Source organism: Homo sapiens, chromosome 19 (assembly GCF_000001405.40).
Source record: "Homo sapiens chromosome 19, GRCh38.p14 Primary Assembly".
Classification (NCBI taxonomy): Eukaryota; Metazoa; Chordata; class Mammalia; order Primates; family Hominidae; genus Homo; species Homo sapiens.
Genome location: NC_000019.10, coordinates 45,240,536 through 45,254,482, shown reverse-complemented (window position 1 = coordinate 45,254,482; position 13,947 = coordinate 45,240,536). Strand labels below are relative to the sequence as shown.

At 55.3% G+C, this 13,947-nt stretch overlaps 2 protein-coding genes across 4 annotated transcripts in view, besides 4 other annotated features; one reads left to right on the top strand and one right to left on the bottom strand.

Moving 5' to 3' along the window:
• The window catches only part of MARK4 (microtubule affinity regulating kinase 4), a 54,014-nt gene extending 50,802 nt beyond the window's left edge, over positions 1-3,212 (bottom strand). For all 3 annotated transcript variants that reach the window (NM_031417.4, NM_001199867.2, XM_006723307.5), the window contains exon 1: positions 2,844-3,212. In NM_031417.4, the coding sequence (NP_113605.2) occupies positions 2,844-2,894 (51 nt within the window). In that variant the 5' untranslated portion in view covers positions 2,895-3,212. The remainder of the gene's footprint in view (positions 1-2,843) is intronic.
• Positions 1,748-2,304: an enhancer, noted in NCBI's record as "H3K4me1 hESC enhancer chr19:45755437-45755993 (GRCh37/hg19 assembly coordinates)". NCBI's record gives its function as "activates a minimal SCP1, AML or CMV promoter by ChIP-STARR-seq in primed H9 embryonic stem cells {active_cell/tissue: H9 hESC(primed)}" and the evidence as "EXISTENCE:reporter gene assay evidence [ECO:0000049][PMID:30033119]".
• Positions 2,778-2,927: a silencer, noted in NCBI's record as "silent region_10760". NCBI's record gives its function as "represses an Ori minimal core promoter by ATAC-STARR-seq in GM12878 lymphoblastoid cells {active_cell/tissue: GM12878}" and the evidence as "EXISTENCE:reporter gene assay evidence [ECO:0000049][PMID:35858748]".
• Positions 3,158-3,537: a silencer, noted in NCBI's record as "silent region_10759". NCBI's record gives its function as "represses an Ori minimal core promoter by ATAC-STARR-seq in GM12878 lymphoblastoid cells {active_cell/tissue: GM12878}" and the evidence as "EXISTENCE:reporter gene assay evidence [ECO:0000049][PMID:35858748]".
• Positions 8,386-9,382: an enhancer, noted in NCBI's record as "H3K4me1 hESC enhancer chr19:45748359-45749355 (GRCh37/hg19 assembly coordinates)". NCBI's record gives its function as "activates a minimal SCP1, AML or CMV promoter by ChIP-STARR-seq in naive H9 embryonic stem cells {active_cell/tissue: H9 hESC(naive)}" and the evidence as "EXISTENCE:reporter gene assay evidence [ECO:0000049][PMID:30033119]".
• Positions 9,076-13,947, top strand: part of EXOC3L2 (exocyst complex component 3 like 2) — a 33,038-nt gene continuing 28,166 nt past the window's right edge. Inside the window, exon 1 of the mRNA NM_001382422.1 lies at positions 9,076-9,142. The gene's annotated coding sequence lies outside the window, so the exon portion shown is untranslated. The remainder of the gene's footprint in view (positions 9,143-13,947) is intronic.

Sequence of the window (13,947 nt, the reverse complement as noted above, 5' to 3'; positions counted from 1 at the left end):
CCCAGGCTTCTTCCCAGGAGAGACCAGGGAGGCAGGTGGAGATCCTGGAGATAAGGCCTCCGATCCCCACCAAGATAAGGACCTGGAGAAGAAGCCCTGTCAGGTGGCGCCAGGGCAGCCAGCTGGAGGTGGGATGGCACCACGCTGAAGGCAGCATGGCTGAGGGACCCCTGCGAGGGGCAGCTGGGGCAGTGGGTGACAAAGCCCCTGGGGGCCGGGGGTGGGAGCTAAAATTGGCCTGCACCACCAGCTGGCCTGGCTCCCTCCCGCCCGGCTGGCGCCCCAACACCCGGGACTGTTGCTAGGGAACCTGGGGAGGCTGGCCCCCTGGTGGGGGGCCCTGGAACTTGGGGTGGGGGAGCATGACCCCACGTGGCTGTAGCCATGGTAACCAGGTAACAGGAGAGGGGGCTGCAACCTCCCATTCCAGAGGCAGGCAAGTGACTCCCCACCAGGACTGACAGGCAGGTCTTAGTGACAAGAGTTGGAGGAGAGAAAAGGGGATTAGCCATCCTCAAATCCGCACCATGCACGCATCTTAACAACCCAGGGAACAGCAAGTCTTCATTAGGCGTTCCACTTAACAGACAAGGAAACCAAGGCTCAGAGAGGTAAGGTTACTTGCCCGAGGTCACACAGCTAGGGAGGGACAGAAACAGGATGTGAACCCAAGTTTATCTGAACAATTAAAGTAGTGCTAATAACCACAACAGCCACGACACATGCCAGGCCCTGTGCACCTTAGTCACATCACGTCGCTGGCTCCTGCAAACATCCCTAACAGTGGGGGGCCATCATCAACCCGATTTAGAGATAAGGAAACTGAGGCTGCAAGCTGGGAGTGAATCTGCAGGCTCACTCAACAACCAATAACAGCCCTGAGCTGAGAATCCACGGGCTGTCTGACTCATACCCACAGCCACAATAGCAGCTGGCATTTGTGGAGTGCTTCCTAGGTGCCAGCCTTCGCCTGAATCGAGTAAGCCTTGGAGGCACTCAAGCGGTCACCCCTATTTTCCAGGGCAGGAAACTGAGGCTCAGAAAGGGAGAACTGGTTGTCTGAGGACACAAGGCAAACCAGCTGGCCATGTCAGCATTGGAACCCAGGACTGTGGAGCCCCTGGCACCTCACTGTAGATTGTAGTGACCAAGGAACAGAGGTGGTAGGCATTTCATTAGACTCCAAATTGGAGTTCTGGCCCATAGTGATGATGCGGGGTGGTCTCTGTGAGGGAGGGATCTGCAAGATGAGGAAGGGACAGATATAAATCTCTCTGATGGTGTGTGTGTGTGGGGGGGTCTGTCGGAGGTGAGGGAAACAGGGGGAAGGGGAACAGGGACCTGGCAGAAGGATTTGGAGAAAGCCACAAAGATCCCAGGTGGGGAGAAGTCTAGGATTGGGTGGTGGGCAGGTCTTTGGAAGTGATCAGTGATCAGAGACACAGGAGATGGGGAGGGGCCTCTCTGGGAAGCAGTGTAGGGGCAGGGGGCGCCTGGGAATGGTGGAAAGTGACAAAGCCATGGGGGCAGTGGAAGTCAGAGGCCAGGAATCCCTGGGTCTTGGGGAAGCTCCTAGGAATCAGAGAAGGGGGCTTCTAGGAGAAGTCCTTGAAACCAGAGAAGGGTCTGGGGGGCCTGGAAGTATGGGGTAGGAACTTCTTGGGCAAGGAGCAGCCCAGATGAATAAAGGCTGAGCCCTGGGGAAGGTCAAGGGGTCTAGAAATTTGGGGAGAAAGCTTCCAGCAGATTGACCCAAGGGAAAAGGGCTTGAAACCAGGGCAAGACGAGAGGCTTCAGGTCCAGGAGTTTTCTGGAAGAAGGATCTGGGGCCAGGCCCTGTAGCTGAGGAAGGCCTCTGAAGCTGAGGAGGGGGCTTCCTTGGAAGGCCAGACTCCCAGCAAGGAAGGGGGAGGCCCTGGGGCAGGAGAAAGGACGGTGGTTTGTGGGGAAGGGGTCTGAGTTTGGCCTAGCAGGGGGTCCAGAGGTTGGGGGTTGGGGAAGGGGCTGCCTGAAGCTGAGAAGTTGATAGAGGGCGGATGAGGCCTGGAGTCAGACTGGTCCAGGGCCTAGAAATACCAGCCTGGGTGAGGTGAGGGCCTAGAAGTTGGAGGCCAAGGCTTCCTGGGAGAGGAAGAGACCAGAAAGGGTCCAGGTGGCATCTGGGGGCCCCGGGGTGCTGGGATCTAGGGACAGGGCTGCTTGGAAGATGGGGACCAGGCCTGGGACGGGAGAGACCTTGAAGAAGCCAGAAAAGGGCCGGGGCCCAGGAGAGGTGGAAACCAGCTTCCTGCCAGGGGCTGCCCACAGGCGCCCTGGGTGCGTCCTGGAGGGGCAGAGGGCTGGGAATAAGAGGAGGGGGGCTCCTGGGGAGCCGGCACCCAGCCCCAGACAGGGAAGGCCGGAGCCAGAGGCAGGACTGGGCCAGGCCCTGCTGAGAGTGCCAGGGCCGGGCCTTGGGGGGTCAGGGGCCCTGCAAATCCGGGAGGGGGCGAGGTGTCGGACGCGGACGGCCTGGAGGGGAAACGGCTTAGCACAGGCAAGAGAAGGGAGGGGCTCCTGGAAGCAGGGGAAGGGGCTTCCTGGAGGGAACAGACCCGAGCGGAAGCGGTCTGCACGGGGACAAGAGAGGGGTCCCGAGAGAGGGGCGCCCCCAGGGGTCGGGCTGGGCTGGAAAAGGTGGGGAGGGTGGAGAGGCCTGGAAGTCCGGGAGGGGTCGAGAGGTGACGAGCCGGGTCGGGCCCAGGAAACGAGGGTAGGGGCTCGCGGGGCGAGGGGTACAACGGGGAGAAGGGTTTGGCGGCTGGACCCAGCCAGGGCTCCCCAAGGGGCCGGGCCCCACTCACCGTGTCCGAGTTCCGATCGTTGCCCGGGGCCAGCACCGTCCGCGAAGACATCTTCTCCGGGTCCCGGGGGGCAGGGGCGGCCGGGTGGGGGGGGCGGGGGTCCCAGGGTCCCCTCTCTTCCCCTCCCCCCCCGCCGGCCTGGGGACGCGAGCTCAAAAGCTGGGCGCCGAGAACGCCCGGGTCCGCGCGGCGGGAGAGGGGGCAGGGCGGGGGAGGGGAAGGGACGCCGAGGGTCCTAGTGGCCCCGTGCAGCGGGGACCCCGGGCGCCATGGGGGCGGCGGGCAGGCGGGCGGGCGGGGGCCGCGGAGGGGGCGCGGAGCCGGCCCAAGCGGCGGCGGAGGGAGGCGGTGGAGGGGCTGGGGAGGGAGGAAGGGACGTCAGGGGGAGGGGCGGGCAGGGCGGGGCGCCGGGACCCCGCCCCCCGCCGCCGGCCCTTAAAGGCGCAGGCCCGGGCTGGTCGGGGCGCCGGGGGCTCCGGGGGCTCCGGGGGCGGAGGCGGGTCTGGGCACGCCGGCGGGGAGCGTGTTCTCGCCCGAGACGAGAGGCGCACTGGAGAGGAGAGAAGGGGAGAGAGAGGCCGGGGCAGAGCGCCAGAGACGCAGAGAGAGAGATCGAGAGACGTAGAGATAGAGAGACACGAAGAGAGAGAGACGAGTTACAAAAGGGTGGAGAGGCGCAAGGAGATGAAGGAAGAGCCAGATGACAGAGAGAGAGAGACGCAGGGAGACAGAGACAGAGAGACCCAGAGACGCAGAGGGACAAAGACTGAGAGAGACCCCACACACACACAGGGAGAGACAAAGAGATACAGAGACGCAGAGATCTGTGAAGAGATAGAGATAAAGGGACTGAGCCAGAGAAGACCCCAGAGGCGCTGCCCACATTGTCCCTCCCCCTGGCCCATTCTCTCCCCAGTTGGCGGGGGGGAGCGGGGGAAGCTCTCCCCTCGGAGGCCTAAGGGTGGGGTGGGTGAAGGGGATGGTGTGCGGGGCTTGGCCACTGCTGAGGGCTCAGTGACCTCCCTAGTCAGGCTGCCTCCACTCAGCCACATAGATCCAGACCCGCAGGTTGGGGCTGCAGCATCCACTCCTTTGCACCCCAGCTGGGGTGTGGGGACCCTCTCTGTCCACCTGTATGACCCGGGGCAAGCACTTGCCCTTTCTGGGCTTCACTTTCCCAGTTTGTAAAGTGAAAGGAAGAATCCGTGTGTTGCTCACTGGCAGGTGCGAAGGAACCCTGTGCAGGTATTCGCCTGCAGGGCACAGCCACTCCCCATGCGGGCAGGCTGAGACCAGAGAGGACAAGAGCCTCTCGGAGGCCACACAGCGCTGTGGGGACCATCCATGCTCTGTGGACCAGGGTGGGATGAAAGAAAGACAGGCATTACATAGTCTTGGCCTGGGAGTCACATGGTTTTGGGAAGGGGTCTGTGCCCTGCCTTCTTCTATCTGAGGCTTATTTTCCTGAGCCTCAGTTTCCCCTTCTAAAACAGCAGTGTGCTGGATCTGGCTGGAGCGAGCTGATTGTTATGTCTCAGGAATTTTGGAACTGGTTGTTAAACACAGCCATTATTAAAAATTAAATTATGCAAACATACAATTAAATTACATTAAAGGTACAAGTAATACATACTCATCACGTCCTAGTTATCTTACTACATTTGCCATTATCTGTGATCTTGAGGTTACCTACGTCTATTGTAGCTGCACAGTAAAATTACTATATAATGGGGGGCAAAAATGCCATGTGATATCACCTTGGTAGCTTGAAATTAGCCATGGTGGGAATATTTACACCATGGAAATTGGCAAATGCTACAAATTAAGGCTCCACACCCCCACCTGCAGAGAGCTGGGGGTGTTTTGTTTTGCTTTGCTTTGTTTTGTTTTTGAGACAGGGTCTCACTGCATTACCCAGGCTAGAGTGCAGTGGCACGATTATGGCTCACCGCAGCCTGGACATCCCCGGCTCAAGCAATCCTCCCAGCTCAGCCCCACCAAGTCACTGGGACTACAGGTGTGCACCACCACGCCCAGCTAATTTTTTGTAGCCATATTGCCCAGGCTGATCTCCAACTCTCAGGCTCAGGCGATCCTCCCACTTCGGCCTCCTAAAGTGCTGGGACTACCCTGCACTCAGCCAAAAGCTGGTTGTGAAAGCACAGCACTGCTTGATACTATGAGCAACACAGACTCATGGCAGTTGCCCTTGTGCCAGGCTCTGAGCAGTTTCTCCTTTCTGCCACCCCAAGAGGTAGGGAGCATCTTTATCAATCCCATTTGCAGATGAGGAAACAGAGGCCCAAGGAAGGGAGAAACGTCACACGCTGAAGGTCACACGGCAAATTAGTGGCAGGGCTACAATTTGAATCCAAGTGCTCCCAAGTTCCAGAACTTGGACCCTCTCTCAACCACTGTGGTTTCCTGTCTCCGAAAAATAATAGCAGCAACCTCAGGCTGCTACTATTTTTATTTGTCAATTTGTTTATATTTATTTGTTATTTTAATGTTACTGCTAACAAATAAATGAGAATCTTTGAGTAAAGTGCTTCACAGGGGACCAGATTCAAAATTCATATGTGGGGACATTATTATTACTATTTGGCAAATATGGCCCGAGGAGCCTCAGGGACAGTGGCAGAGAGGGTGGAGTTCCGGGGTAGTGTTCTAGACGTACTGTGATCCCAGGGACGCCGCAGGGTGAAAGTGGGGGTCTTGGGGGTAGGCTAGAGGGGCTGAGCGCCCCCAACCCGTTCCCTGCATTGGCGCTGAGAGCTGCAGTTCTACCGTGCACCACACGGGGGCAGCCGATCACCTCCCTACACGCGCCCCACACACTCCAGGGTCCACCCCTGCCCTCCCTTCCCCAACAGCGTCCCCACCCCATTTCCCAGATGTGGGGGGACCGAGGCTTACAGAGAGGGAGGCTGCAAAGTGGATGAACCTTGAAAACAGCATGTGGCCGGGCGCGGTGGCTCACGCCTGTAATCCCAGCACTTTGGGAGGCCGAGGCGGGCGGATCACGAGGTCAGGAGATCGAGACCACGGTGAAACCCCGTCTCTACTAAAAATACAAAAAATTAGCCGGGCGCGGTGGCGGGCGCCTGTAGTCCCAGCTACTCAGGAGGCTGAGGCAGGAGAATGGCGTGAACCCGGGAAGCGGAGCTGGCAGTGAGCTGAGATCGCGCCACTGCACTCCAGCCTGGGCGGCAGAGTGAGAATCCGTCTCAAAAAAGAAAAAAAGAAAACAGCATGTTTAGCGAAAGAAGTCAGACGCAAAAGACCACTTACTGTATGCTTCCATTCATATGAAATATTCAGAATTGGCAAATCCATAGACAGAAAGTAGATTAATGGTTGCCAGGGGTTGGAGGCTGGGGAATGAGAAATGACTGCTGATGGGTACCAGGTTTCTTTTTGGGGTGATGAGAATGTTCTGGAATTAAATAGTGGTGACGCTTGCTGCAACCTTGTGAATATACTAAAACCTACCGGACTCTGTTTGAAAAGGGTGACTCTTATGTATGTGAATTGTATTTCAATAAAAAATAATAATAAAATTTAAAAAGGGGGCTGGACGCGGTGACTCACACCTGTAATCCCCGTACTTTGGGAGGCCAGAACGGGAGGATCACTTGAGCCCAGGAGTTCGAGACCAGCCTGGGCAACATAGTGAGACCCTGTCTCTAAATCAAAATAAAAAAAATAATTTTTAAAAAGGAGGGGGACGGGCACGGTGGCTCACGCCTGTAATCCCAGCCCTTTGGGAGGCCGAGGCGGGCAGATCACGAGGTCAGGAGATCGAGATCATCCTGGCTAACACAGTGAAAACCTGTCTCTACTAAAAAAAATACAAAAAATTAGCCGGGCGCTTGCAGGTGGCAAGCGCCTGCGTCCCAGCTACTCGGGAGGCTGAGGCAGAAGAATTGCTTGAACCCAGGAGGCGGAGGTTGCAGTGAGCAGAGATCACGCCACTGCACTCCAGCCTGGCGACAGAGCAAGACTCCGTCTCTAAATAAATAAATAAATAAATAAATAAATAAGGCGGGGTGGAAATCCTGCACGATCCCAGTACATGATGGGCCACTGCTGACCATGGGTCCGCGGTGCAGAGGCCGAGCTGGGGGGCAAGGCCTGTTCCTCTGCCTCCCGACCTGGTCATCCAGCTAGCCCTTCCTCCACAACCTATGTCTGGTGAATTCATTCCTTCAACTGGGGCATTCAGACCTTTGAATCTTAACCCTTGGATCCAGGAGGGAGCTGTGATCCCTAAGCCCAGCCCCCGATCCTAATGTTGACCCCAACCCTGATCCCAGCCTGGACTTTGCCTAGGCCAGTGATCACGCATCCCCCTCAGGCTGTGCCTGAGCACTTGAACACAGTTTATCTTATTTATTTATTTGTTTGTTTGTTTATTTGAGATGGAGTCTCACTCTGTCTCACAGGCCGGAGAGTGCAGTGGCACAATCTCGGCTCACCGCAACCTCTGCCTCCTGGGTTCAATCGATTTCTTCCGTCTCAGCCTCCCGAGTAGCTGGGATTACAGGTATGCACCACCACACCTGGCTAATTTTTGTGTTTTTAGTAGAGGCAGGGTTTCATCAGTTTGGCCAGGCTGGTCTCAAACTTCTGACCTCAAGCGATCCACCCACCTTGGCCTCCCAAAGTGCTGGGATTATAGGCATAAGCCACTGCAACCAGCCCAGTTTTATTTATTTAAAAAAAATTTTTTTTTTCTTAATTTTTGAGACAGGGTCTCTCTCTGTCACCCAGGCTGGAGCGCAGTGGCGAGATCATGGCTCACTGCAGCCTCCACCTCCCAGGATCAAGTGATCCTCCCACTTCAGCTCCCTTAGTAACTAGGACTACAGCGTGCCACCACACTTGGCTAATTAAAAAAATTTTTTTTTTTGTAGAGACGGGGTCTTGCTATATTATCAGGCTGGTCTTGATCTCCTGGGCTCAAGCAATCCCCCTGCCTTGGCTCCCAAAGTGCTGGAATTACAGGCATGAGCCACCACACATGGCCCTAGCCTTTTAAAGTAACCCTGACTCTCATACCCAACCCCACCCAGCACCAGCTCCAGCCCCAGCCCTCACTTCACTTGGCATCCCAACTCTAGCAGGAAGTCCATCTCCAAACCCACCTCCAACCCTCAGCTTCATTTAAATTCATTTAAATCTTGACTACTGAGGGCCAGGCACGCAGCTAGGCTTATAAAGATGAACAGGATCAACAAAGTGAGCTTTGCTGAGTTTATCTGCAAGGAATCCAGTTGCATCTGATAATTTCAGATTGTAGAAGGTGCAATAAAGAAATTGACAGGCTGGGCACAGTGGCTTACGCCTGTAATCCCAGCACTTTGGGAAGCCGAGGCAGGAGGATGGCTTGAGGCCAGGAGTTTGAGACCAGCCTGGAGAACCTAATGAGACCCGTGTCTCTACAAAAAATACAAAAATTAGCTGGGCATGGTGGTGCATGCCTGTAGTCCCAGCTACTCAGGAAGCTGAGGTGGGAGGATCTCTTGAGTCTGGGAGATCCAGGCTGCAGTAAGCTATTGTTACGCCACTGCACTCCAGCCTGGGCAACAGAGCAAGACTCTGTCTCAGGAAAAAAAAAAAGAAAAATAAATTGACAAAGCAGAGTGACGACTCTGTGAGACGGGACAGTGGAGAACAGAGGAAGAGACTGTGGGGCTGGAACTGGGATGATGAAAAGGAGGGCCTCATGCAGAGACCTGGGTACAGGGGCTTCTAGACAAAGAGAACCACAATTCCAAAGCCATGTCCAGTGCCCTCCTCCATAGGTCCCCCTCCCCAGCCCCTGGGCCCAGCAAAACTTCCCTCCTGGTCTTCAGCCCGTGGCAGGGAACTCTAGAGAGATGCGTGCCTGCCCCCCGGTTCTCATTCTAAGGCCTCGGGGCTTGCCCATGCTGGAGAGCAGCTCTGGGCTGGCGTCCAGCTTGGGGTGTCTCCCCGGGGCGCCCAGGATGGTGTTGTCACCTTGGGAGGCGTGAAGAGCATGCAGGAGTGGGCGGATTCCGGCCTGGAGCGGGGGTGAGGGTGGGGGCCCAGCTGTGGGCCTCGGCCTTCCCAGCCCAACCGCAGCCTGGCCTAAAAGGGCAGACAGATAATGAGTCCTTCCCGCCCCTGGCCCCAGAGAGGGAGGGGTTTCCTGACAGGAAATTGTCCTCCTCCGAGCACCCCCCCAACTCAGATCCAAGCTCCCAGCAGTCCTGGCTGAAGTAGCCTGGGGACAGGACAGCAGCGGGAACAGAAGGACGGGCAGGAGGACAGAGGTGAGTGTGCTGGGGACAGGGGGAAGGGGTCCCCCTTCCCCAGGGCAACTGGGAAAACAGTTGCCCTTAGTTGCACTGGACCAGAGCTGATGAGAACCTGTACCTTGAACCCAGCAGAGGCTGGGGGCAAAGAGAGAATCTGGGGCCTGACTCCAGAGGGGTGCTGGCGAGAAGGCAGAAAGGAGATGAAAATGAGAGGAGGGTGCAGGGGAGAATTTGAGGACTCGCGGGGTCCACAAAGGGTGCAAGGGAGCATTAGAAACCTTGGTGCCACCAAAGGAGAATAGAGATGAGATGACATTGGGTCGAATGTCCTGCGAGTCTGGGCGGGAAGACTGAGGCCAGGAAGGATCGGGTATTTGTTCTATCCCAAGAGATGGGGTCTCGGAGATGGGAGACAGGGACCAGGTAGGGATTGAGATCAAGCAGGAGAGACCGAGATCAGGTTGGGATTGGAGATGTGGATGAGCTTGCAGTGGTCTGGGCTGATGACAGGATTGTGTTTGGGGTCAAGGACTAGATTGGGGTTGCACTGGTTGGGGTTGGGCTTGGGGACATGCCATATGGAAAGACCGTTCTCTAATACAGATGCTGAGCGTTGGAGGTGATGGATTCCGCAAACCGAGGTCAGGGCCGCTGCAGAAGGTTAGGGACTCCGGGGAAAAGGCTGGCAGTGAGGAAGAGGAGGAGGGGCTCAAAGAGGGAAGCTCTGGTGGCCAAGACATCCTGCGGGCCTGAGAGGCTGGGGGCTTGAGGGATGCCTCGGAAGTGAGTCAGGGGCTGGGCACTGGGAGGCAGACAGAGGGTTGGAGGGGGCAGGATGTCAGCACCAGTTTGCAGAGGCGGGTGTTGGAGCCAGGAAGGGGAAAGACGTCGGAGACAGTTTTGGGAAAATGTTGCAGCCAGGTTTGGGGATGTTGGATCCAGTTTGGAGGCGATATTGAAGCCAGGTGGGGGAAAGTCAGATGTAGTCCGGGCAAGGTTGACTTCAATTGGAGGGAAATTCGAGCCTGAAATTTTGAGAGGAAGATGGAGACAGTTATGGGGTGGAGGGGGGATGATGGAGCCATTTTGGGATGAGGCATGTGGATGCCAGTTCAGAGGATGAAAGAGAAATCAAGGCTGGGTGTGGTGGCTCATGACTGTAATCCCAGCACTTTGGGAGGCTGGGGCAGGTGGATCGCTTGAACTCAGGAGTTGACCAACCTGGGCAACAGGGCGAAACCTCATCTCTACTAAAAATACAAAAATTAGCCAGGTGTGGTGACTTGCACTTGTACTCCCAGCTACTCGGGAGGTTGAGGTGGGAGGATTGCTTGAGCCTGGGAAGCAGAGGTTGCAGTGAGCCGAGACCATGCCACTGCACTCCAACCTGGGTGACAGAGTGAGACTGTCTAAAAAATAAAAGAGAAGGACAGAGTGCGGTGGCTCACACCTGTAATCCCAGCACTTTGGGAGGCTGAAACAGGCGGATCACAAGGTCAGGAGTTCGAGACCAGCCTGGCCAATATGGTGAAACCCCATCTGTACTAAAAATACAAAAATTAGCCAGGCGTGGTGGTGGGCACCTGTAGTCCCAGCTACTTGGGAGGCTGAGGCAGGAGAAATCGCTTGAACCCTGGAGGTGGAGGTGCAGTGAGCTGAAATCGCGCCATTGCACTCCAGCCTGGGTGACAGAGCGAGACTCCATCTGAAAAAATAAAATAAAATAGAAGAGAAATGAGTGTGCAAATAATGTGTGTGCATGGGGGAGTATCTATTGCACACAGCCATGGGGGCTCCAGGCAAGGGGTCGTCATGGTGACTGCCTCCTGTGGGGGCGGGGGCCCATGGAGACCGGAAGGAGGTCCGAGAGCGTTTCTAGGAACTGGAGGGTTGAGAAGCAGCAGCTCAGGGGTTGAAACAGGGAAAGAAAGAAGGGGCCTCCCCATCATGGAAAGGGGTGCTCTTACTCATAACCTAGGCAACCCAGGCCTTTTGCACACCACCCTCTTCCCAGGCCTCCTGTCCACCCCCGCACGTCTGCATAATCCTGACCCTGTCCTGACCTGCTCAGAACCCTGTCGTGGTGACAAACAAGCTACACGTCCAGCAATAGAAGAACAAGTGAACATCTGACCCTTTACACAATTCATATAGTGGAATATTACATAGCACTTAAATGAACTGGAGCTGTATGGCTAGACATGGATAAATTCTCACAAGTTCATAACGTGAGCAAAAAAATAAATTTTAAAGCAAGTTGCAAGATACAAATAGTATGATACCATTTATAGAGAGTTTGAAACCATGTAGAACAGTATATTATTTCTGGATACAAGTCTATGGAGCATGGGATAAAAATCTACTTGGACGGGTAAACAGCACATTCATTCTGGATGCTGGATTCCTTAGGAGAAGGCCAGAGCGAGTGGGACCAGGAGAGGTGGCAGGAGGAGGCTGCACGCATTTGTAATTCTTTTTTTTTTTTTTTTTTTTTGAGATGGAGTTTCGCTCTGTTGCCTAGGCTGGAGTGCAGTGGCACAGTCTGGGCTCACTGCAGCATCCGCCTCCTGGGTTCAAGTGATTCTCCTGCCTCAACCTCCCAAGTAGCTAGGACTACAGGCACCCGCCACCACACCCAGCTAATTTTTGTGTTTTTAGTAGAGGCAGGGTTTCACCATGTTTGCCAGGTTTGTCTCAAACTCCTGACCTCAGGTGATCCTCCCTCCTCGGCCTCCCAAAGTGCTGGGATTATAGGCGTGAGCCACTGCGCCTGGCTTGTTCTTTAAAACAAAAATCAGGGCAGTGGATGGTGGCTCACGCCTGTAATTCTAGTACTTTGGGAGGCCGAGGAGGGAGGATTGCTTGAGGCCAGGAGCAGGAGTTCCAGACCAGCATGGGCAATATAGCGAGACCCCATCTATAACAAAAAATTAAACAATAAAATTAGCAGGATGTCCCCGTTGCTTGGGAGGCTGAGGTGGGAGGATCGCTTGAGCCCAGGAGTTCAAGGCTGCAGCCAGCCATGATCACGCCTCTGCACTCCAGCCTGGGCAACAGAGTGAGATCCTGTCTCTAAAGACAAAAGCAACAACAAAAACCTGAACTAAGAGAGCAAATGATTGTGTGAGCTGTGGCTAGGATTGTAGGCACAGAAGTGTTTATTAAGCTTGTCTTCTGTACTTTTCCGAATGTTTGAACTATTTCATTGTTTTAAAAAGCACCTATCTGTGGCTCTGCAGGGCTCTTGGAAGAAAGCCTGTCCCTTATCAAGGAACTTAAAGCCCTGCGTGGCCTGCTCCCTAGTGACCTCTTCCAGCTCGACTCACCCTCCTCCTCCCCACACAAGGAATGAACTGTCTTGCCACTTTCCTTCCTTCATTTCCTGTTTAGCACCCATTCCCTGAGTGTCTGCCCTGTGCTGGGAGCTGGGGACACAGTGGTGACTGAGACAGCCCCAGCCCTGTCCTGCTGAGGTTTGCAGTCCAGTAAGGGACACAGATCTGTCCCCAGACAGGGATGACCCAGAGCAGGCAGAGGTGAGGTGTGGGAACCCAGGGACTGGGAGCCTGAGGGTCACAGAGGGCTTCCTGGAGGAGGGGGCATGGGGCTGAGTCCTGAAGTGTGAGTCCTGAAGTCCTGACTGGAGCATGGAGAACAGGCGTCTATGTAGAAGCACCAGCAGATGCTGAAACCTGGAGGTTCCTGGGGTAAGGAGGAGGCTACGGGACAGCACTAGTGACGTGTGCAGCTGCCAGAGCATGAAGGCTGTGGTGAGAGGCCTCAGCTTTGTCCTGAAGATACTAGGGAGCCATGGAAGGCTTAGGAGATGGAGAAGAGCAGGTTTGTGCTTTTTCTTTTCTTTTTTTTTTTTTTTTTTTGAGATGGAGTCTTGCTCTGTCGCCCAGGCTGGAGTGCAGTGGCGCGATCTCAGCTCACTGCAATCTCCGCCTTCCGCGTTCATGCCATTCTCCTGCCTCAGCCTCCCGAGTAGCTGGGGCTACAGGCGCCTGCCACTGCACCCAGCTAATTTTTTGTATTTTTAGTAGAGACGAGGTTTCACCATGATCTCGATCTCCTGACCTTGTGATCCGCCCGCCTCGGCCTCCCAAAGTGCTGGGATTACAGGCGTGAGCCACTGCACCCGGCCTGGTTTGCGCTTTTTCAAGGTCCTCAAAGGCGGACTGGAGGTGCCAAGACTAGAGGCTGGGGACCAGGGAGGAGGCCAGGGCAGGGAAGTGGGCAAGGGTTCCGCTTGGGGTAGGGGCTATGGGAAGTGAGTGAAAGGAGGGAGCGCAGACTGAAGAGAGGCTTAGGAGATGGAATGGGCAGGACTCAGGAAGCTGTAATGGCAGGGATGGGGGCTGCCCTGGCCACTGCTGTGTCCCTAACGCCTGCACAGGGCTGGGCCCATGGCTAATACCTAGTAAGTTGTTTTGTTTTATTTTATTTTTTGAGACTGAGTCTTGCTCTATTGCCCAGGCCAGAATGCGGTGGTGTGATCTCAGCTCACCGCAACTTCTGCCTCCTGGGTTCAAACAATTCTCCTGCCTCAGCCTCCCGAGTAGCTGGGATTACAGGTGCATGCCACCACGCCCGGCTAATTTTTTACTTTTTTTATTTTTAGTAGAGACGGGGTTTCACCATGTTGGCCAAGCTGGTCTCGAACTCCTGACCTCAGGTGATCTGCCTGCCTCCACCTCCCAAAGTGCTGGGATTACAGGCATGAGCGACCACGCCTGGCCTTAAGCCATTTTAAAAGCATACAATTAAGTGGCACTTAATGCATTCACAGTGTTGTACAACCATCACCTTTATCTAGT